The sequence below is a fragment of the Homo sapiens genome, chromosome 16 (genome assembly GCF_000001405.40).
Source record: "Homo sapiens chromosome 16, GRCh38.p14 Primary Assembly".
Taxonomy (NCBI): domain Eukaryota; kingdom Metazoa; phylum Chordata; class Mammalia; order Primates; family Hominidae; genus Homo; species Homo sapiens.
The window spans coordinates 85,378,773-85,401,947 of NC_000016.10; the positions used below are offsets into that span (position 1 = coordinate 85,378,773).

The following is a 23,175-nucleotide window of genomic DNA, read 5'->3' on the forward strand; positions in this document are numbered from 1 at the left end:
CCAGTCCCCTCCCCACCTTCGTCCCTGTCCTTGTGGCTACCCCCGTGCTGCTCTGCAGTCTCCTCCCGGCTCTGCTGTTGCTCCCTCTCCTCCACTTGAGAACTTCCCTGAACCAGTACTGAGGGTGGCCAAATTGGATGCTCCCCAACTCCTGCAAATGCCAGAGGACTTGAGAATTAAAATATCCAGGTTCAAGTTCAGATCCTGGCTCTGGGTCTCACTGGCCAGACAGCCTTGGGCAAGCCACCTATCGCCTGCACCATGCACAGAGCCACACACCTCTCCCACAGAGCCGCTATGACTCTCCCCAGAGAGCTGCCATCTCCCTGCACTCTCCCCAGAGAGCTGCTATCTCCCTGGACTTCCGGGGCCCGGCCTACCTCTTCCTCGATGGCTGCCCCTCCCTGGGCCTCAGCACCCTCCTCGCTGGGCCTCCTCCGCATGCAGTGCCATCTGGCAGAGGGAGTGTGTTGCACCAATCAACTCCAATCCTGGTCTGGTGTCCACACTAGCTGAGCAGCTTCCAGAAAGGCAGAGTTTCCATCCGTTTTGCTCCTCTCCATCACCCCCAGTGCCTAGAATGGTGCCTGGCCCCGTGAGGTGGCCCTCGGAAAAACCTTGTCAGATGTAGAAGGGAGAACACAGAGTGGTCTTCCCCTCCTCTTCTCCCACAGACCCCTCCCTGCTCCTGAGAAGATTCCAGGAGGTCTCCCTGGAACATAGTAGGTGCTTCCATGTATTGGTTCCTTCCTCACCCCGTGGTGAGCACAGCTCAGGTCTCCTGGGACCCCTGGGTTCTCATGGACCATCCAAGGTCTTACTTAGAAGCAGCAGCCCAGCTCCTGGGGTACGTTTTCCTGTGGCCCCTCCCTCCATTGCAGGTCAGACAGCTGGGCCTGGACCCTGCTCCCTGCCAGGCCACTGAAGGGGCGCCAGGAGTCCCGGAGTCCCCTCAGCCTGGCTGTGCACTTCCTTTGCTACTGGATCCTGGGCCCTGCCAGAGCCCAGCAGCCATGGCCTAGGGGTTGAGGGAAGCAGATCGCTGTGCTCCTCCCCCAGCTCCTGCTCCCTGGCCTAAGGTCACCAAAGAGAAGACCTTTGCTGGTTCTAAGACGTAGCCATTAGCTGGCCCCTTGGCCTGCCTGTCCATGCCAGGCTGCCCCAGACAACATCTACCAAGACCCTACCCCTGCCCTGCCAAGCATGGTGGGCAAAGGGGCTTTAATTTCCAAATCCAAGGACAGAACAGCAGGTGTTTGGCCTTGGGAAGCCCAAGCATTGCCATTTCTAGAACATTCTGATGGGCTAAAAGGGTCATAACTCTCTAATTTGAACTTGGACATTCACCATAGCTGTGAACAGCTGTGATCCTTTGTACTCAGGGATCATCAAGTCCAGCTGGGCGGGCAGGGCTCTTATACCCCAAGGATTAGGGCATGTGGCTGAGGCAGTCTGGGAGGGCTCCCTAGAGGAGGAGAGGTGGAGGCTGTGACTTGAAAGATTCCAGGACGCAAAGGAGAGTAGTTAAGGTCTTCTTGGAGGCAGAGGGAGACAAGTCCAAGAGGGGAGGAGGTGGCACTCCAGGGCCTCATCTAAATTGTGGCAGTGCTAAAACCACCCTCTAAATCCTCCCTGAGCCCTTGGCCAACCCCACTGTTCAGCAGGTGATGAATCTGTAGCGTAGGGAACCATTTGGTGAAACAGGATAGAAGCAGGGTGAGGCAAGGTGGGAGGACACCCCCCCTCCACCCGCCACCCTGGTACCCCCAGCTCCCAACACTGCCCGCCGGGGGAGGCCTCTCATCCCTCATGGTCGAGGTTTAGTGTGGCATCTCAGACGTTTGATCTGTGCTCTGCATTAGACGGTAGCTATTTGAAATCTTGACATCAACAAGGTTAACAAATTGGCTCCATTTGGCGTGGCCCCGGACCTAATTAGATCTAATTAATACTCACTGGGGGTCCTGCATCAAGCCGCAATCCATCATCCAGCCTCGCAAACAGCCCTCCGCTGCTCCTCCAGCTGAAGGGAGTGTCGCCCTGCCAAGCTGGGAGACCGTCCTTCTCCCTGGTCTTTGCATTTTCTTTGGGGAGCTGTGAATTTCCAGTGGGCATGGGAACGCGGTGAGCCCTGGTAAAGTCTTTGCAATGCGTGTTACTTTAATTTTTTAAAGTTGAGGTAAAATTCACCTAACACAAAATTAACTGGAAGCAAACAATTCAGTGGCATTTAGGACCTTCACAGTGCTGTGCAAACACCACCTCCGTCCAGTGCAAAAACATTTCGTCACCCCAAAAGGAAATCCCAGACGCATTAGCTCTGCCGTTCCTCACTCCCCCACCTTCCTTTCCAGTCCCTGGCAACCATCGATCTACTTTCTGTTTTTATGAATCTTCCTATTCTGGACGTTTCACAGAAATGGAATCGTACCGTTTGTAGCCTTTTGTGTCTGGCTTCTTTCACTCAGCGTGGTGTCTTCCAGGTTCATCCACGTTGCGGCCCGAATCCGAACTTCATCCCTTTTTATGGCCGAATAATATTTCATTGTGTGGATAGACCCCATGTTATGTATTTGTCCTTCTGTTGGTGACACTTGGGCTGTCCCCAGGTTTGGGCTATGGTGAAGAATGCTGCTGGGAACATGAGTGTGCAAATTGGTCCTTGAACACCTGTTTTCCCTTCTTCTGGGTATAGATCTCCACAGAGGGGATCTGATAGGCCACGGTATCCTTTTCATTTTGTTTAACAAGCACATACGTAGCTCTTGTTGGGTGCCAATTTAATATTCATAACCTCACTAAGAGGGAGGTACTGTTACCTCCGTTTTACAGATGAGCAAACTGAGGCTATGTGGGTTTAACAGGCAGGATTTGAACCAGGCAGCCAGATGCTGCTGGCTTTCACTAGTCAGTGTAGTAATTTGGCATCAAGGCCACCAGGTCTGAGCGGCCCTTGGGAACTGCTTCTCAGGGTTGCAGGCCCAGGAGGCCTCCCTTGTGCAAATCACTCCTCAGGATGCTGTTGGGTGACCCTGAGGCCGGTGCATCTGTTCACAGAAATGTCACTGCAAAGCAAGCTAGAGGGGCAGCCTCTCCCTGTCAGGGTCCCCTGCCTGACACCCGCCTGGGGGCATCTCACCGGGCTGGGGCCAGGCTTCCAGGCCTGCTCACAGAGTGCCTGAGGAAGTCTGGTCCCAGGCCCAGGAATAAATAACAGGCGTGCAGGCTGTCAGCCAAGCTGGCTCTCAGGTCTCCTGGAGCTCCACAGAGCCCCGGCTTTCTGTTGATCTGATCTCCTGTGGTCTCTTGGCTCCTCCGCTGTGATCAATCTTGCGGCCCTGGGCTGGCCGGGCAGTCACCCCCACGCAATGTGGTTATCTCCTGGCCACACATCGCTGCTGGGGCCCGGGGCTCGCTCAGGCGGCCCTCGATGGCTCATCTCCCCTGCCTGATCTCCCGTCCTGGTCATTCTCCAGCCCGCCCTTATCTCAGTGTCTGGGCTCTTCCTTTACTTGCAAACCGTGACTGTGGTGGGGGCAGGGACGGCCGCCTTGTAGTCACCAGACCCTCTGAGACAGGATTTGCTTCCCACACAAGGCTAATCAGGTCCATAGGCCCTGGACGAGGGCTCCTCTGTTTCAGAGGCCACATGGTGACCCGCTGCCCCTGCAATGTGCAGAATTGGGTAAAATCGCTCCCAGTCACACAGCTGGGAGGGACCCTGGGAAGATGCACGTGGTCTGCCCCTCACTTTCCCGATGAGACAGCAGAGCCCTTGAAAGCAGGGGGTACCTGCCTGTGCCCGGGCTCGGAGCCCACACCCGGAGATGCTGGGTAAGATGGGAGGGACAGAATGGGGAGCAGGGAAGCAGATCCAGAGCCAAAGCACTGCCAAATAACAGCAGAAGCCCCAGGCCATCAAGAGCATGGCACCTCACACATGCACACACACACACAGCCATGTGCACACTCAAGCATGTGCACACACATGTATGCACACCCATGCATGCACACACACAACACATGCACACACACTCATACACACATGCACAAACACACTCATGCACACACATGCATACATGTGCACACACAGCACACATGCACACACACCGTGCACACACACGCATACACTTGTGCACACATACATGCACACACGCGCACACAACACGTACACATGCACACACGTGCACACACATGCACGCTCACACGCACACATGTGCACATACAACACATGCACACACGGTTGCACCCACACATGCACACACACACCGTGTACATGCATGTGCGCACACACACACATGTAATCACAGCCTTAGTGCACAAGCATGCCTGTGCACCCACACACAGCTCTTGACACAAACACCATAACACACCCATATATACAGTAGACACCTGGGTACACAGTGCACATTTGCACACACACATCCACACACAGCCCTCTGTACATAAACACACACATTCACATGCACACACAGCCTGTCACACACTTGAGCATACACACAGTTCCCAGCACACATGCATGTGCACAAACATGTACATACACAGTCCTCAGCACACACACACCGTGACATACACCTGCACCCAATAGACAGCTGCATACACACAGCACACATACACTCACACACATGCACACACACGCACACACAGCCTCTGTACATAGATACGCACGCATTCACATGTACACACAGTCTGTCACACATTTGAACATACACGCAGAGCTCCCAGCACACACACACACACACACGCACACCTGCGTCTCTCTCTCTCTCTCTCTCTCTCTCTCTCTCTCTCTCTCTCTCTCTGACACTCATACTCCTCCTCCTCCTCCAGACCAGCCTGGGTGACCATGAGTTTCCTCAGAAGCCGACCACATGGACTCTTCCTGCCTCCCTCTCATTGCCTCATGGGTGTCTGTCCACTTGGGGAGGGGAGCAGAGGCCAAGAGGAGAGAGTGGCTGGCTCGTGAGGGTGGCTGACCCTGGCAGGGTTAAGAGGGGTCTACCGTTAAAGGGTCCCCATGAAGGCAGGAAGTCATCCAGCCGAGAATGGGAGGACCACACAGACCTCTTTCCTACAGAGCTTGGGGTCAGAGTGGACCACTGGTCTCTGGGCCAGTGGCATGGGGTCCACAGGATTGTGTCCTTGGCCCAGGAGCTGCTGTCCTCAATCCTTGGCCATCCTCACAGGGGCTTGGCCGCCACCCCTGACTGCTTCAAAGCCTCTTGGGCTTTCCCTCCAGAATCCAGTTCAGGCCAGTGATCACATCCACATGGGCAGAGCCTCCTTTTTCCAGGCTGCTCCAGAGAGCACGTCTCCCTCGACCCTCCGGCCTTGCTATGCACAATCAATGCCACTCCCCTTACAGGGGGGCACAGACTCAAAGGAGGGGAGGGAGGTGCTATTGTGAACACGGACAGGTGACTGCCCAGCCCAGGCTTCCTGATGGGGGCCCCGAGACCCTCTCCGAGAGGAGCAAGAAACACACGTGCCTTGCTCTGTGTGGGTGCGGCCGGGTGGCGAGCGGCCCATCCTGGGAGGGCTGGAGAACCTCCCCCTTGCCCATAGCGTGGCAGATGGGCCAAGGGCTCCACTTCCTCCCACCTCTGCTGTTTACTGGCTGTGTGACCTCAGACCATTCTCTCAACCTCTCTGAGCTTTTATTTCCACATCTATACATGGGACCAAGGATAGCCCCAATCCCAGACCTTGCCAGATGTGTCAGAGGGTCCTGCAGTGTGTGCAGCACCAGGCCTGTACACATGGTGCCGACTGGCATCATGAGGGAGGTTTCCTTTACTGTTCCTTGCCCCTGGGCCTCACTTTCCCTTCTCCTGCAAGCTGGGACCTGTGCAGGCGGTGGCTCAGCCTACAGAAGGGCTGGGAACTCACGGCCAGGCGTGTGGGTGGATTGTTCTGGATGCCTCAGAGCCCTGTTCTTCAGGGACCTTGATGAGCTCCAGCTAATGAAGCCCAGGCTCTCCTGAGGGGACAAGATGTTGATGGAGGCGTGGAGGACTGGAAACAGGTCCTCCAGCGCCAGGATCCAGGAGGGAACACACAGGAGGGGACAGAGCAGGCCTGTCCGAGTCTTGCTGGGCTTTTCTGCACCCTGGGGGCCCTCAGGCAAGCAGCCAAGCAGGTAGGAGATCCGGCCTTGCATCCGGCCTGCCGCAGACCCAGCAGGTTAGCGTGCTGTGCACACCTGCCCCGCCCGCCCTGGCCTCGGATTGGCTCGGCCAGATGCTTTCAGAAACACTTCCCATCATAAAAGTCTCACTGGCTCCGCCACCTGCCCCGGGCCCTGTTGCTCCGCCAGTCAGGAGACAAGTCTGTTCTCGCCAAGGAAGCCCTTTGTGCCACCCTGGGCCGAGCCACATGGGGCTTGGGATGGGTGCCTGGGGCAGGGCACCCGCAGCAGGTGTTTTGGGGTGGGTGCCTCCAGCCTGTGGCTGCTTGTCCGGGGCAGGAGGCTGGGAGGAGAAGGGGAGTCACATCAGCTGTGCGTCTCTGGCCCAGGTGCAGGCAGGGCTCCTCTCAACTGCCCCTTGCCCCTGACGCCATCTGTGTGTGAGGCCAGGGCTCCCAGAAGAGTGTGGTATGGCCCCCACTATTGGAGTCACCATGCAGAGGGGGCCAGACGCCTGGACAGAGACTCAAAGCCACACAGAGACCGGGCTGGGTGGGACATACTTGCCTCCCACCACTACCCGTGGCAGACAGCTCCTTCTCGGGGGCCCTGGGGAGCAGGGCAGGAAGCCAAGCGGAGTTTGTGGCTGAGGTGGAACCCTGGTGGAGGAGGGGTGTCCGCAGCCTCTGCACCCAGCAAGTCCCGTGGCACCCCCAGGGCCAGCCTGGCTGCTGACAGATGGTCATGAGACCCGGGGAGTCTGATGAAGTTCATTTTTCACCTGCACGTGTTTTCGCCTCCCCGCTCTCGCGAGGCAGCCGGCCATCCATCCTGGAGCCCTTCCGAGGCCTCGGCGGTAATGGGGTCATAGATCACTCCCTGGTGGAGACAGAGCTGGACAGGGGGAGGGGAGCCATTAAGAATGACCGCGGGTGACCCCCGGGCCAGGACGGCTCCAGCTCCAGCTCCAGCTTGAGACGGGGCGTGCACAGCCCTGAACCTGGGTGTGGGCTAGATAGGGGTATGGGGTGCTTTCAGGCCTGGCTCAAGCCCCATTGGGGAGGGGTGGGCAGGGAGCGAACCCCCATTCCCCGAGGGTACACCCAGGGAGGGCATCACTCTGCGGGGCTGTCTGGGCCTCCCGTGGCCATGGGATAGCGGCGCTTCTGGTCAAGGCCTCTCTGTGACAGGTCAGGGTTGAGGGGTCACTGGCTCAGAGACTACCACCCCCTCCCACCCTGTTTAAATATGGTGGTTCAGGTGGAACCCTCCCACGCCCTGCCCCCTGTTTGGGCTCAGCATTGTGGCCAGCAGAGCTGAACAAGGCCCTGACGCCGTGGCAGGTGCCTGGCCCAATGCATCCTGCCTGCGTGCCTGACACCAGGATGGACGGCTGACTCTAGGTGGGGAGTTGGATGCTGCCTGGGTCAAACCTGGTCATGCCATCTTACTGTGCAAATGAGTAAGTCTCTTGCCCCATCTTACCTCAGTTTCCCCCATAGGCAAAATGACAATAATAAAGATATGACGTAACGCACGGGGGTTTGAGATGATAGGGTGAGCTGTCGCCATGACGGGCTATGTCTGGCAGCTTGGGCACCTACTGCCTCAGAAGCGGTGTCTGTGGTTATTGTCATCCTTCTCATCATCACTGTCATAGTGGTGGCTCAGAGCATGGCTTCTGGTCCCAGCTGTGTCGGCTGTGTGGCCTGGAGGAGATGCTAAACCCTCTCTGGGCCTCCCTCAGTTTTGTGACCCGAGTGTTCAGCACGATTGTGCGTGAAACGCCTTGGAAGGAGGCTGGCCTGAGTCAGTGGTCAGGAAAGTCGACCTCACTTAGTGGGTGCTGGAAACAGCTCCCCCGCCATGCTGCCCTCCTGGGACACCCCTTCCAGAGGCTTCTCCTGGAGTTCTTGTTACCAGATTTTACCCTATGGGTGCTGGAGGGGAGGGAAGGGGCCAGGGTGCCATTCCTGGGGTGCCTCTTGGGGTGGCCCTGGCTGCTGGCTTTGGCTGGGTGGACTTTGGAAGGGACAACTGGACAGCTCCCACTGAAGGTTCTGGGGCTCCCTGGGGCCACGCAGCATCACACAGGGTCTTCTAGCACCAGCTCCCTGAGTTCTTGACAATTTGAACGTGAGGTTCTCAGAAACCACTTGAAAGACAGAAAGGAGTGATAGTGGGGTGCCCCTGCCACTGCCCGACCACCGTGGTTTCTAGATGGCCCTTCCAGCCCAGATGCCACAGGTACTGGAGTCCAGCACAGGGTGCTGTGCACAACGGACACCGGGCCTAAGGAGGGTGGTGGGAGCCCCCTGCACCCATGGTCCAGCCCCAGGCCTCTCCTGAGTCTCACGCCCAGTGACTCCCCAGAACCCCCCACTTTCCCGACGCCTTGCCATTTGCCACAGGCTGTGGAACGCTGGGAGTGCTGCGAGGTCTGGCCTCAGCCTCCCTCCTAGCCCCCCTCCTCAACCCCCCACGCATGCTGAAGCCGTTGTGGCTCCTGCTCTGTGGTCCTGCCCCAGGGCCTTTGCATCTGCTGTCCCTTCAGCCTGCGATGCTCTTTCCACAGAACTTTGCGGGACTGGCTTCTTCCCAGCCTTCAGGCCTCACTCAAATGTCACCTCATTGGTGAGGCCCTCCAGGATCACCTGACCTGGTGGCCCCTCTCCTCCAGGACATCACCTGCTTTCATGTTACCTTGGGTTGCTTTCTTCCTCTTGCTTATCACCAACTATCCAAAACTGTCTTGTTCATTGATTTTCTTCTTTTAAACATCTCTCTCCCTTGGTTAGAACATAAGCTTTGTGAGAACTCATTCATCTGTGTAGTTCACTATGTCACCAGAACACATTAGTGATAGTGCTTTGGTACAAAGTAGGTGATCAGTAAGTACTTATTGGTTAGACAAATGGGTGAATGAAAATGGATGGGTGTATGTTTGCATGGACGGATGATTGGATGATTGGTTGGATGGGTGGGTGGATGGATGGATTTGTGAGTGGATAGGTGGGTGAGTGGATGGATGGATGGATGGATGGATGGATAAAGGGATGGATGGGTAGGTAGATGGGTGAGTGGATGGGTGGGTGGATGGATGGATGGATGGATGGATGGATGGATGGATGGATGAACAGATGGATGGGTGGGTAGATGGGTGAGTGGATGGGTGGGTGGATGGATGGATGGATGGATTGGTGAGTGGATGGGTAAGTGGACGGATGGATGGATGGATGTATGGATTGGTGAATGAATGGGTGAGTGGGTGGATGGGTGGGTGGATGGATGGATGGATGGATGGAGGGATGGATGGTTGGATACATACATGGGTGGATGGATGGATGGATGAATGGATGTATGGCTGGATGGATGGGTGAGTGGATGGGTGGGTGGATGGATGGATGGATGGATGGATGGATGGATGGATGAATGGATGTATGGCTGGATGGATGGGTGAGTGGATGGGCGGGTGGGTGGATGGATGGATGGATGGATGGATGGATGGATGGATACACAGGTGGGTGGATGGATGGATGAACAGATGGATGAGTGGGTAGATGGGTGAGTGGATGGGTGGGTGGGTGGGTGGGTGGATGGATGGATGGATGGATGGATACATAGGTGGATTGATGGATGGGTGGATGAACAGATGGATGAGTGGGTAGATGGGTGAGTGGATGGGTGGGTGGATGGATGGATGGTTGGATGGATGGATGGATGGATGGATACATAGGTGTGTGGGTGGATGGATGGATGGATGGATGGATGGATGGATGGGTAGATGGGTGAGTAGATGGATGGATGGGTGGATGAGTGGATAGATGGGTGGATGGAAGGAAGGAAGGAAAGATGGAAAAAGGGCAGGCAACATCTGGGTTTCTTTCCTTCCCTTGACTCAGTTCTGACTACTGGTGAAGAAGTGGGGCAGCTGGTGGCTCTGCACTGGGGGTTGGATTGAGCCAGGACAAGTGACTGGGTGATGAGGTTGTGGTTAGATGGGGAATCCCCAGGGAAAATCATAGGTGTCCTGAATCCTACAAGGTAAAGAAGTGTTCTTTGGGAATAGATCATGAAGGAAAAAAAAGAGAGAGAAATGTTCCACGATGTTGAGGGTAATCTCTGAACCATGGAATGGCCCTCATTGACTGGGAAAAGGAGCTCAGGCTCTGAGGCCCCCCAGCCAGGTCCTGGGGAGAGGAGGGACTGGCCAGCAATGGGGGCCAGGCAGCATCTGAGGCATTCTGATAGAGCAGAACCTCATTAAGAAGCTGCTAGGGGCCGGGGCAGTGGCTCATGCCTGTTATCCCAGCACTTTGGGAGGCCAAGGCGGGTGGATCACTTGAGGTCAGGAGATCGAGACCATCCTGGCCAACATGGTGAAACCCCGTCTCTACTAAAAATACAAAAATTAGCTGGGTGTGGTGGCAGGCACCTGTAATCCCAGCCACTCGGGAGGCTGAAGCAGGAGAATCACTTGAACCCGGGCGGGGGAGGTTGCGGTGAGCCGAGATTGCACCACTGCACTCCAGCCTGGGTGACAGAGCGAGACTCTGTCTCCAAAAAAAAAAAAAAAAAAAAAGTGGCTGCTAGGGTCATACCAGGGGCTGAGGGTGGGGGTCACATTATTTTCATCTGGTTTGCATGCAGGTGGTGCAAACCAGGATGTGCAAAGCATCTTCCCGTGGCCATGTCTCTGCTTCTGTCCTCCATCCCTCCCACCATTTGTCACTGTCCTAGAAAGCCTCAAGCAGAGAGAACCTCCTGCTCTCACGGCTGAGCCCCCAAGGTCTTCTCTTCCATATACAGAAGAATAATCCTAACAAATCACTGAAGCCCTTCCTGCTTGGAGCCCTTTACCTGAACTAACCCATTGAATCCCCACGAGCCTGCAAGGCAGGTGCTAGTATTGCCCCCATTTAATAGATAAGCAAACTGAGGCCCAGAGAGGGGCGTCACTTGCAAACAGCTGCATGGCAGGTGGGCCCACGCTTAGCGGATCTGGGCAATGAGGCCTTACACAGACCCCGTGGAGTCAGGCTCTTCGTCTCGTTTTACCCCAGGGGAAAGTGAGGCATGACTGAAGCTTGAGAAGGGACAGAGAAAGCGAAGAAAGCACAAGCAGCTGACCTCGGGGCCTAGGCTGGGATTCAGCTGCAGATCAGGCCTAGAAAGTACAGATTATTTCTTTATCTATTTATAAAATTATTTATTTGTAGTTATGATGGATACATAATAGTTGTACAAAGGGAACTGTGTATTCTTACACATACTTCTGTGTCCCTGAAATCTGGGACAGTCGCTGGCACACAGTAGGTGCTCCAAAATACTCACGGCCTGTAGCTTTGTGCGGTCACAGGCACGGTTCTGCTGGCGTTGGGGTGGGGGTCATCACTCAAGTGACCAAGGGGAGGTGTCCAGCAACAGACGGGGACGGGGCCTCCTTTGCTTTCTGGCAACAAGATCAGGGTCAGATTCCTGCTAAGTGGGGGGCACCCGTGCCCCCCAGGGCTGTGCCTGGCCGGGGCAGCTAGTCCCCTTTGAGCCCTAATTCTAAGAGCTAGCTTCGTGTCCCTCCATATAACAATATGATGGGTTAGGGTCAAGCTGTGGTCCTATAACTTGTTGGAAGACATTTCAGAACAATAAAGGTGTCGGGCTTTATGTCTGCTCATATTTCATCCTGGCTCTGGCCTCTCCTGCTCACTCACCTTGGATTTACTGTGCGGATATTTTAAATGGGGTGAGCTTGGACGCTAGTGTTCCCGTACCCCCGCCTTGTCCCCCCCACCGCCTTGTTCTGCCCCCCCCACCCCTCCCCGCCACCGCCCAGCTCTGGGAGCCTGGCCCCAGCCCGAACCCCGTGCTGGCCTTGCCTGCTGAAATATTTACCTCCCGGCTCCTCTGACAGGCAGAGCTGTCTCCTTAAGCAAAGGTTATTGGACTGCGAATGTTATGACATTACATTTTTGTGTCTGCACTTTGGAGATGCGTCATGCTGGCAGAATGACAAGCTCTGGGCAGGGCTGAGCAGAGGGGCCGGGCAACGCGGGGAACTGATAGCGGTCCACTTTATTGCAGTGCCTTCACGGCTCCGCCGCTGCGCCCTGGGAGTTGACAGGACAAGGCGCCAGCCTCCTTGGCTGGGGCTGCTTAGCTGGTTTGATGCTGTCAGCTCCCAGGCACCGCCCCCCCACCGCCCCAGCTGGCAGCCCCAGCACCTCCAAGAGAGGGCTAGGATGGAGCAACAGGATGGAGCAAGGCAGACCCACAGCAGCAATGAGAATGGTCCCAGCAGCCCACGTGGCACAGAGCTGTGACATTCCAGGTAGTGTGCAAACACATTCGGGCATTAATGCATGTCCCACGCACCCACCCGAAGAAGCAGGCATTTTTATCCCTTTTGTCAATTGAGTAAACTGAGGCACAGAGTGGTAGTGACTTGTGATATCTGTCCCCTGCGGCTGCCGTAACAAAGTACCACAAACTGGGGAGCTGAAAGATTTCTTCTCCCACAGTTCTGGAGGCCAGAAGTCCAAAATCAAGGGGTTGGCAGGGCCACACTCTGCCTGGCAGGTCCAGCCGGCGATGCTTCCTGCCTCTTCCAGTCTCTGGTGACTTCAGCATTCCTTGGCTTGCGGCAGCATCACTCCAGTGTCTGCGGTCATCACGTGGCCGCCTTTCCTCTGTGTCTATGTCCCAATTCCCCTCTTTTTATAAGGACGCAGGTCGTAATTTAATATGCCCACATTTTAACTTGATGACATCTGCAAAGACCCTGTTTCCAAGCAAGACCTCATTTACAGGTTCCGGGTGGACATGAATTGGGGGTGGGGACATTATTCAAGCTGACATGTGTGCCCAAGGTCACTGGAGTAGATGCTTGTGGGGCCTCACTGGCATGTCCCCCACCAATCTCCGAGCTCACCTGCAGATGGCTCTATAGAACCCTGTGGCTTCTGGACTTGCTATGCTGGAACGTGTTCCCGGGCTGCCCTGACTCATGCAGGCTGCAACTTACATGCTAGGAGGTGGGTGTCCCCAGGAGTCACTCCAGCCCAAGAAGGAAAGGTGTTGGTGGATACCTCCCCATCGTCCTTGTCCTTCCTGGGAACTCCTCTCCTAGGGGCCCCAGCTGGCCTGTTCAACGTGGCCCCTGTAGGTTTCCTTCCCAGCCTCACCCCCCACTCCCTCCCTTCCCGTGATTCCCTCCCAGATCATCTCCCTGCCCTTGATCCTTGTCCTGGGATCCGCCTCTTGAGGAACCCAAATGAAGGCAATATAAATAATGATAACAGAACAGCTGGCACACACAGCATTGATTCTGCACAGGCGGCCGACTCCTTCAGGACTACAGCAGGCCTGGCAGAGAGCGTCACCAGATCCAGAAAGAAAAACACAGGACACCCAGTGAAACTTAAATTTCAGATAAACAACAAATACCTTTTAGTATAAGTATGTCTCATGCAATATTTGGGCTATACTTATGCTCTTAAAACATCCATTGCTTCGGGCTGGGGAGGGGATGGAGAGTGATTGCTAATGGTTATGGGGTTTCTCCCTGGAGTGGTGAACATATTCTGAAATTGACTGTGGTGAGTAGCTGCCCACTTTTGTGAGTATTCTAAAGCCCATCAAACTGTGTGCTTTAAATGGGATCATATGGGATGCAGGTTATGTATAATAAAGCTGTTATATTGAAAAAGTATTTGTTGTTTATCTGAAATTTAAGTTTCACTGGGAGTCCTATATTTTATCAGGCAATCCTATTTGGGGGTAGGTTCTCCCACTATCTCTGTATCACAGATGAGGAAACTGAGAGCCAGCCGCATATCACAGCCAGGACTTGTGGAAGGGACTGGAACCCAGAAGTCCAGCCTCCTTGACCCTTAGGGAGCGTTGCCTCAGTGAAGATGGAGCCTGAGGCTGGAGAGGCGGCTGGGGCCAGGTTGGCTGACCCCGAATGTGCGGGGATGCCCTCCGAGGTCTCTCCATCCACCCAGAGGCAGAGTGCATGCCTCTGAGCAAGGGGTCCCAATGTGGCTGAGGTTCCTCTCATCCTCTCCCTGCCTCTTTGGGCTCGGCCTCCTCCCTCACATAAGGACCGCAGGCTGGTCAGAGGGAGGAGGATCAGATAGAGGCCCTGTCAAGGCTGCTGGTGCAGGGCCTGCAGTCGTTGCTTCTCACAGGCAGCTGCCTCTTGGAGGTCGGAAGAGAAACTGCGCTGGGCACGGTGGTGCGCACTTGTAATCCCAGCACTTTGGGAGGCTGAAGTGGGAAGATCACTTGAGGCCAGCAGGTCAAGACTGCAATGAACTGTGATTACGCCACTTCACTCCAGCCTGGGCAACATAGCAAGACCCTGTCTCAAGAAAAGGGAGGCGGGGGCACAAAATATATGAACTTGAGGCTGTCTGAGGCCTCTGGCAAGACAGGAGCGGCAGGGAGGCCAGGGGCCACACCCTCTCAGGGCTCCCAGCCCAAATGACCTGGTGTCTGTGATTGATGCACCATCCCCTTGAATCCTGATGGGAGAAATGTCTGATGTCGTTACAGCTCCGTCTCACACAGTACCCAGCACACAGTAGGTGCCTAATAAATGCCTCTCATATTGACACCATCCCTGGAGCTGAAGGGGTGTGGAAGCAGCTGGGAGGGTGTTTTGCTAACTTCATTTTGCAGAGACTACTACTGAGTCCCAAAGAGCCACCTATCCCTGACTGAGACAGGTCTGCAACCTTCTGGAACAGTCTTCAGGCTCCTGTGTGATTTACAGGACCCCAAGGCAGGGGACCTGCACCCAGGAGGCAGCAGGCGGTTCAGGGTTCTGATCTTCTTAGGGGCCCAGTCCAGAATGAGGTGCCCTGCCCAGACCCCCTCTATCTATTCCCCCACTGCCCCCCAGCCTGGTGGCTGGGCTGGGCTGAGGGGCTTGAGGTTCCCCACCACGGGCAGGTGGGCCTTCTCACCGCCAGGGGGCAGCAGGGGGTTGGCCGCCAGCTTGCGCCCGGCAGTCCTGATGCAGGCCCACTGGGGCGGGGCTGGGCTGGGGAACTCCAGGCACCCTGGGGCCACGGTGGAGCGCGCCCCTCTTCTCGGGGGCCCACAGGACACTTCCAATCTGCCTGGGGACCTCTGGCCACTTGTCACCAGGCGTCGATACCGTTCGGGCTCACTGCTGGCTCCGGGTTGTTGACCCCCTGGGAGAATGAACATTCGGGCTGTCGGGGACCGGGGAAGGCTCAGCCGTGACTGCTGACGAAAAACACAAACATCTGTGAGGGGAGAGGCGGGGCTGGAGGGTGGGAGGCAGCCGGGGGCCGGGGAGCGAGGTCAAGGCCCGAGAAATTAAATGTTCATAAATGTAGGCCTGGCACTCACAAAGTAGGGCAGAGCCATTAGCGCTCATTAAAGTTTAATACCTGTCGGTGCTGGTGCGGCCCCGCTGGACGCTGCTCTAATTTGATGGGTGTAGAGGGAGAGTTCTCAAATAATCGGGGAGGTCGGGGGCTTGCTTCTGTGATGTTCACAGGAAGAGGACGGTTGGGCTTTGAGGGTCCCTTTAAAGCGAATGATTTGGGTGGTTCCTCGGATGAGCGGCTTGAGGGGGCTCTGCTTTATGTACCCTCCCCTGTGCCCATTTGTGGGGTCACTGGTTTAGTCCTGGATGGGCGGCAGCCCCCGCGCACACACACACGCACTCCTGTCTGCAGGATCACCTTGAGATTGCAGGCCCTGCCAGGAGCCAGGTGTGTGGGCGTCTCCCCCTGAAAGCCCTGGGGATTCATATTAGCTCATTTGTCTTAGTTGGAGCAGAAGCCCCGTCCGTCTCCCCCGAGAACATCTCTTTTTCTACAGCAGAGCAAACCTTTCCTCTCCTGTTCGTGCCACTTCCAAAAATCCAGGCTTCCTCGGGCATCCCCCTCCATGCCAGCCCTGGCTCCTTGGGCACACGGTTTCTGGGCTCAAACATTGGCCCAGACCAAGGGTAGATGAATGGTCTGGAGGAGGCACTCTGGAAGCTCAATGGGGCAGGCTAGAGGCATCCAGGGAAGGCCCCCTGGAGGAAGTGGCAATTGAGTCGGGCCTTGATGGACAAAGACATATAGGAATTAGGCCTGTAGAGGGAAGCACCTGGGCATTCTCGACGCGGGGAATGGGGCGGGCAGAGACTGGGGCACCTAAGCATAGGGAGGTTGTAGGCTGCAGCCACACAAAGCTGAGGATGAGGAGGAAGGATGGTCTGGGGCAAGCTGGGGTAGGCCTTGCATGCCAGGCTATTGGCTTCTCGAACGTTACCCTGAATCCCTGGGAATGGAATGGAACCGAATGAACAGGTAAAATCTATACGAGGCCCAGAAAAATCCAAGCCCCGAGCTGCTGAGGTGTCAGGGCAGTGGCGCCTGCTGAGCGTGTTAGAAAGGAGGGAGAAGCAGCAGCTAAGATGATCGCGCCCTGCTGTGTGCCAGGCTCCTCATGTGAGAAGGACCATAGGAATCTCCCGTTTCACAGGTGGGCACACCAAGGCCCGACAATGGGTCCAGGCTGCCAAGGGTGGAGCCGAGATGCAAAGGGGCACCTCAGAGCCTGCATGTCTGGCCAGGCTGGACACAGGCTGGCATGTTCGCTGCCTGGAAACACCCTCCCAGCAGCCAGCACCCAGCTCTGAAGCTCTGGCTTTGGCTGGGCACCATGCCAGCCCTCGCCACAGCGGCTCCAGACCTCCCTTTCTCTCCAGGCCTCCCGAGAAAGCCCTTTGCATCTTTTGACTCACCCTGAACAAATGCTCCCTCCCTCTGTCACGTCCGCCCTCCCCTGCCCACGCTCTCTAGGGGCCTGCCCAGAACAGCTCCTAAATCATCCCGCCTGCCTCCTCCCGCCGGCTTCCTCCTGGGCGCCCGCCCACCCTCCCCAGGCTCTGCCCTGTTCCCAGGATGGCCTGGAGCAGAGCCAGCCCAGAGATGGGGAGAGAAGAAAACCAGCCAGCGCCCCGCAGAAGGGCTGCGTGAGGAGTCCCGGCGGCCTGAGTCCCCCCAGCCTGCAGAGCCCACAGCCCTGTCCCCCGGCTGGTATGTCCTCTGAGTTTCAAGATGCTCTGGGGATTTTTCTGCTTTTTACCCCTGAGCTTGCTGCTTCTAGAACCTTCTCTTGGATATGAACAAGGCTGATGAAAGCTTCAGCCCCAAGTGGCCTGTTTCCAGCCTCAGTCTGTCCACTTCATTTGGAAAACTCACTGGGACCCCATGAGCAGGAGGCAGGACATCAGCAGGCCCGTCCTTCCTTGCCCCTGCCCGTCTCCTCCCCAGTTCCCCAAGTCCATGGAGGCAGGAGGATAACACGCTGTCCTGCTCACTCAGCCTCTCCCTGCTGCCCAGGCACTGGGGCGGGGGGAGTTGGGAGTGGGTGGCCGTGTTGTTTGGAGAGACAGGAAATATTAGGCCGTGGCCCAGCGCAGACAGGCCCTGTCTTGAACTCCAGCACAGAGTGGATGTGCTGCAATTGTAATGCAAAAACACCTCTGATTAGTTGTTTCCACACCCCTTCCACCTCCCCAGCACCCAAGTCTAGTTCCATGCTGGGTGGAGGAGCCGCTGTCCCGGATGCTCTCCGCTCCTCTGCCTGCCAACACCTTCCACTGCCTGGCCACTGCCAGAGGCAGCTGCCCACCACCTGGAGCCATGGAGGAGAGCAGTTGGCTGAACGGGCAGCTTCCTCCTCCCTCCGATTGGGAGCAGGATTTCTGCTCAGTTCAGGACGTTCAGGCCATTCTCAGGACCCCACAACGGGGCAGGATGGATGTCCGGACGCTACACAAGTGGGAGGCCACAGGCCCCCGTGGGGACTTGACCCAGGAGTGGGTGAGGGTGGCGGCAGGGGAGGCTGTCTGGGAAGCGCAGGTCAGGGCCATGGGCTGGGCGGTTGCCTGTTTCCTGTCTGTGTGTGAGATGGGGGTGCCCTCTCCAGGGAGCCCGTGAAGGTCAGAGAGAGACAGAGAGCAACAAAGAGACAGCGTGAGATGGTCATGGAGAGAGACAGAGGAAGACACCCAGGCAGAGAACAGAGTGACAGGTCCAGAGAGAGAGAGCAAACGTGAAAAGCAGAGCAAGGACCAAGAGACGGGGGCTCCCCTCCAGCTGGGTGGGTGGGAAGAGGGTGCAGAGAGGCATGGGCAGATGGAAAAGGAGACAGGCCAATGTCCCAGGGAGCCCCCTTGCCCCTGTCCCCCATCTCCTCTGTGAAGTCCTGGGGGGAGACTTGATTTCCCACACACTGGGGCAGGGGCTCAGATGCCTCCTCTCAGCCCCCTGGCAAAGCAGACACTTTTCTCCCCTTTTGCATTGGGGGAAGCAGATAGCAGCTCAGAGAGGTAGACTGGAGGGCCCAGGGCCACACAGCAGGGCACTCAGGCTGCGACCCCCGCTCCCACCCTTGGCACTCAAGTGACACTCAGTGTCTACTCGCTGATGCAGGTGCTGAGCCGTCTCCTGCGGGCGGTGTGTCCCCAAGGCAAGGCAGAGTGCATGGCACGTGTATCTCCTCGCATGGACCCTGCCTGGAACATGTGGTCTCTGCTGGCCCAGGCTTGTCACGGTACTAAATCTGGAGACTGAGCCCTCTGCCTCTGTCTGCCCCCCGCCGCTGCCTCCAGCTTCTGGAGCTGTCATGTTGAGTTCACGAGGTTCCAAAGTCACCTTCCATGCAGGGAGCCTTCGGGTTCTGACTCAGCCTGGGGCCTCCCCGGAGCACCAGGGTGCGGGAGGCACCACCTGCCATCTGGCCCCCTCTGGAGGACGCGCGTCAGCCTCACACCTGCATCGCCTTTGCCCCGCTTCCCTGGGGACTGGTGGCCCTGGGCTGTGGGACTGCAATGTGGAGGAAGGCGCACATCCCCTGCTGCCCTCCTGAAGGTCTGATTTAAATTCAGGAGCTTCCCCTGGGATCCTCCTCCTCCAGCCCGCATAGAAGGAGGTGTGAGGCTTCTGGAAGCAAATGAGCCCCGCAGACCAGGGGCTGCCCCTTAGAGTCACAAAATCCTGGGGCCTGGGCTCCACCCTACAGACCAGTTAGTTCCGAATCGTGGGGGTGGGGTTGGGGGTGGGGGCTGCAGACCTTGGTGTATTCTCAGAGCTTCCAGGTGATTCTGTGCAGGAGAGGACCCTAGGGAAGACGCACCTTGGTATTCTGGGGTATCTTGGAGCTAGGTCTCCAAGGTTCGGACCCCGATGAGTGATGTTGTCTCTCAGTACCTCAGTTTCCTCATCTGCAAAATGGGCGTGATGGGATCACAGGTTCCCAGGATGGTTGTGAGCACTGGGTGAGATGAAGTGAGCAGGTGAAGAATTCAGGCGTCTTTGGGGAAGTGGAGAAGGAATGTTAACATGTCGTGATTTGCAGTGGCAAAACCTGGGACACTGAGGCCTGAGGGGTCGCAGAGCTCCCAGGGGTTAGAGCAGGCAAGAGCCCAGTCCCTCCTGAGCAGGAGGTGGAGGGGAAGTGTGCCAGCTCCCAGTCAGCAGGTCTGGGTCCAGTACCGCCTGTCTGCTTGATGTCTGTGGGTAAGTAGCTGTGCCCTGCTGCTATCTGTAGACTGGGGATACCCCTGCAACCCCCTGAGGCTGTGGTGAGGATAGATGGAGGTAAAGCGTGGGAGAACTGCCTAGGACATGGCCACACATGGCCAAATAATGATGATGTTCCCGCATAATCCGACAAACCGCTGCATGACTCTGGACCTCAGTTTCCCCAGCTATAAAGTGGGATAGGTTAGGATCGAGGGGCTCATTTCAGATGCTACAACTTTAGTGTCAGAGCCAGGAGAGAGAATGTAACTTTACAGCCCAGCTCTGGGTTCCTGGGCTGGAAGAAAATGTCACTTTCTGTTCACGTGGTCCTTACATGGTCCCGCACAGAGAATGTGTGTGGGTGCATGTGTACACGTGCACATGTGTAGACATGTATAATGCATGTCGAGTGCGCACCGACATGTGTGGTATGTTTGTGTAGACATGTATAATGCATGTCGAGTGTGTATCCACATGCGTTGTATGTTTGTGTGTGCCTCTGGGTGTGTGTGTAGCATGTGCATATGTGTGTACATTGTGTAAGTACTTGTGTGTGGTTGGCAGACATTGGCAGACACATATGCATGTGCAGTGTGTTATATATTACATGCACATGTGTATGTGTATGTGGTGTGTACATGTGTGTGTGAGGATGCATAGGATTGCACATACACGTGGCTTGTGTGTGTCTGTATTGTGTGCATATGACCGTATAGATGTGCACGTGTGATGTGTGTGGTGCTGTGGGGAGCCCTCCAGGGTTTCATCACTGTCAGCTCCTGACCCTGCACCCATGGTAGGCTGCCTCGTCTGCTGGGCCCCCCCAGCACAGAGTCCTCTCAGGCCGCCCCGAGTGGGGCCCTCTGCACGTGGAAAGGTGGGCTTCCGGGGGGGTTCAGTCCACGGGGGCTCCACGGCCTTCAGAGTGTCTAATTGTGAAATATTTAATGCATTCCAAAAAGTAGAAAGAATAATACAGCCAGCACCCACATGCCCCACCAGCTTCAGGAAGAGAACGTTGCTGATGCGGTTGTACCTTGTCCCTAGTTTCACAGCCCCCATCCTTGCGGGCTTTCAGAAGCCCCTGCAGGCCCCTGGGTAAACCGACCAGTTTCCTAAGCTGCCTGCCTGCTTTCTTTGCCTGTAAAGTGGGGATATAGCAGTACCAAGCTTCGTGTCCTCAGCACATGTTTATTGAGCACCTACTGTGTGCCAATCACTGCCGTAGGCGTGGGGGATGCCGCAGACAGTGAAACGGGCAAGGATACCTACACTTGGCGGGGTGCACATTCTGCTGAGTTCGGGGGAAGAATGGATTAGGAATCTGTGCTTCGCTCCTAGAAGAGCCCCTGGCAGGTGGTGAGTGTTCCGTGAGTGCGGGCTGCGGTTATCATGATTAATATTACCATTAATATTGCTGAGAAGTCAAGACTGGCCAGGGCAGACCCTGGGCCCCAGGCCACTGCACACCCAGCTACAGGGGGCTGTGCCCTGGAGCTGCGCCCCATGGAGTGTGACCTGCCAAGTCACACTGGGCGCACAGCAGCCCCTGAGCAGGCCCAGCGCAAACACAGGGGCCTCCTGCAGGGACCTTGTGTCACGGCCACACGGAGCTACTGACTGCTGACACCTGCGTCTTCGCCGCCACACCGGCCCTGCAAATCATTAATGCTTATTCTTTCAAAGGCAAAAAAACGGAGAATGATCCGCCAGACGCCCCACAGGCCCTCCCCTCCCTGCTGAGGTTTTGGGATCATCAAAGAGATGGGAAAACAGGAAGTGTAGGGTTGTGTGTGTGTGTGTGTGTGTGTGTGTGTGTGTAATTGTGTGTGTGTGTTTCTGTGTATGATTTTGTGTGTGTGATTATATGTCTGTGTGTGTCGTGTTTCTGTGTACTGTGTGTGCTTTCGTGTATGTCTGTATGTGTATCTCTGTGGCCGTGTGTGTTGCATGTATGTCTTTGTGTGTGTCTCTGCATGTGGTTGTATGTCCGTGTGTTGTATGTCTCTGTGTGTAGTTTTGTGTTGTGTGGGTGTGTTGTGTGTGTCTGTGTGGTTGTGAGCCTGTGTGTTTTGTATGTCTGTGTGTGTGTTGCGTGTGGTTGTGTACCTGTGTGATGCATGCGTCTGTGTATGAGTGTATGTCTATGTGTTGCATGTCTCTGTGTGTCTGTGTGTTGTGTGTGTCTCTGTGTCTGTGTATGTTGCGTGTGTCTCTGTGTGTTTTTGTGTGTTTGTATGTGTTGTATGTGTCTGTGTCTCTGTGTGGTGTGTCTCTGTATGTGGTTGTGCACGTGTGTCTCTGTGATGTGTGTGTCTCTGTGTGTGTGGTGTGTGTCTCTGTATGATTTTGTGTCTGTGATTATGTGTTTGCGTGTGGTGTGTGTGTCTCTGGGTCTGTGTATGTTGTGTGTGTCTCTGTGTGTGATTGTGGGTCTGTGTGTCTGTGTGTGTGCGGAAGGGGTCATAATGGAGACCTAGCTTTGACCTTGCGCATCTGTGTGTGTGAGAGGAGGCAGCCGGCAAGGTTGGTTTGAGCATCTACATCAGTGCGGGTGCAGATCCAGAGACCCCACCCACGAAGACCTCCGCGTGGAGGCCAAACCACGAAAGCCCAAATCAGCGGATATGGTGCTGGGGTCCGCAGCTTGGGCTTTCTGAGGCCCAGCTGGGTGGGTGCGGTGCGGGGAGGGGCAATGGGGGCCCCCGCCCGGCAGGAGAGGGAGTGAGGCCAACGTCATGCGTTATTCAGCGGCTCCTGATTTCACATTATTCTCCCTGATACGTTTACAACCTGTCAGTAAATAAAAAGATTCTACATTATTTATAGAAATGGAGCAGAATTGGCCAGGAAGATTTAGTACTGCTATTATCAGGGAGTACCCGGGCCATCAGAGTGGGTGGGGTGGGTGGGGCACCAGGGGTGGGGGCAGAAAGAGAAAGATGCTGCTGCCCCAGCGGGACCGGAGCTCGGGGGCTCTGGATGGGCCTGCTGACCCCAAGAGGGGACACAGTTGCTTCCCTTGGGGCACCTCCCGCAAAGTCAGGCACCAGGGGCCAGGAGAATGAGCCGGCCCAGAGGGCTTGGGAGGGCAGGGTGGAGGCAGGGGACTTCTACCTGTGGGGCGGCCCATCCAGGTGAGGGCCAACACTCTGCCGAGGCCAGGGTGGGGTCCCCAGGCTGGGACAAGTGGCTGAGGCCCAAATGAGCCATATATAAGAGCTTCTAACTGCTGCTGAGTGTTTATTGAGCACCTGCTGTGTACACGCAGCACTGCACGCCGGTTACTGGGGTTGATACCCGTCCATGCTGCTACTGTGGGGGAGGGCCGAGAGCAGTGTTTCTCAATCTGGGTTCCACCATTCCTGACGGGAATGTCTAAACATGTGCTTTCCGTGTTCCCAGCCATCTAACTGTGCCTGGCGTGAGCCTGTGCTGGTTACTGGGCAGCCCCGCTGTGAGTGGGCACTTCTGGGGGATCCAGGT

General features: G+C 56.2%; 1 protein-coding gene across 6 annotated transcripts in view, besides 3 other annotated features; it reads left to right on the forward strand.

Annotated features, from left to right (window-relative positions):
- GSE1 (Gse1 coiled-coil protein) overlaps positions 1–23,175 on the forward strand; it is a 506,689-nt gene that overhangs the window by 209,261 nt on the left and 274,253 nt on the right. The window lies entirely within an intron of this gene.
- Positions 6,173–6,738: an enhancer, noted in NCBI's record as "H3K4me1 hESC enhancer chr16:85418551-85419116 (GRCh37/hg19 assembly coordinates)". NCBI's record gives its function as "activates a minimal SCP1, AML or CMV promoter by ChIP-STARR-seq in primed H9 embryonic stem cells {active_cell/tissue: H9 hESC(primed)}" and the evidence as "EXISTENCE:reporter gene assay evidence [ECO:0000049][PMID:30033119]".
- Positions 17,017–17,582: an enhancer, noted in NCBI's record as "NANOG-H3K4me1 hESC enhancer chr16:85429395-85429960 (GRCh37/hg19 assembly coordinates)". NCBI's record gives its function as "activates a minimal SCP1, AML or CMV promoter by ChIP-STARR-seq in naive H9 embryonic stem cells {active_cell/tissue: H9 hESC(naive)}" and the evidence as "EXISTENCE:reporter gene assay evidence [ECO:0000049][PMID:30033119]".
- Positions 17,583–18,148: an enhancer, noted in NCBI's record as "NANOG-H3K4me1 hESC enhancer chr16:85429961-85430526 (GRCh37/hg19 assembly coordinates)". NCBI's record gives its function as "activates a minimal SCP1, AML or CMV promoter by ChIP-STARR-seq in naive H9 embryonic stem cells {active_cell/tissue: H9 hESC(naive)}" and the evidence as "EXISTENCE:reporter gene assay evidence [ECO:0000049][PMID:30033119]".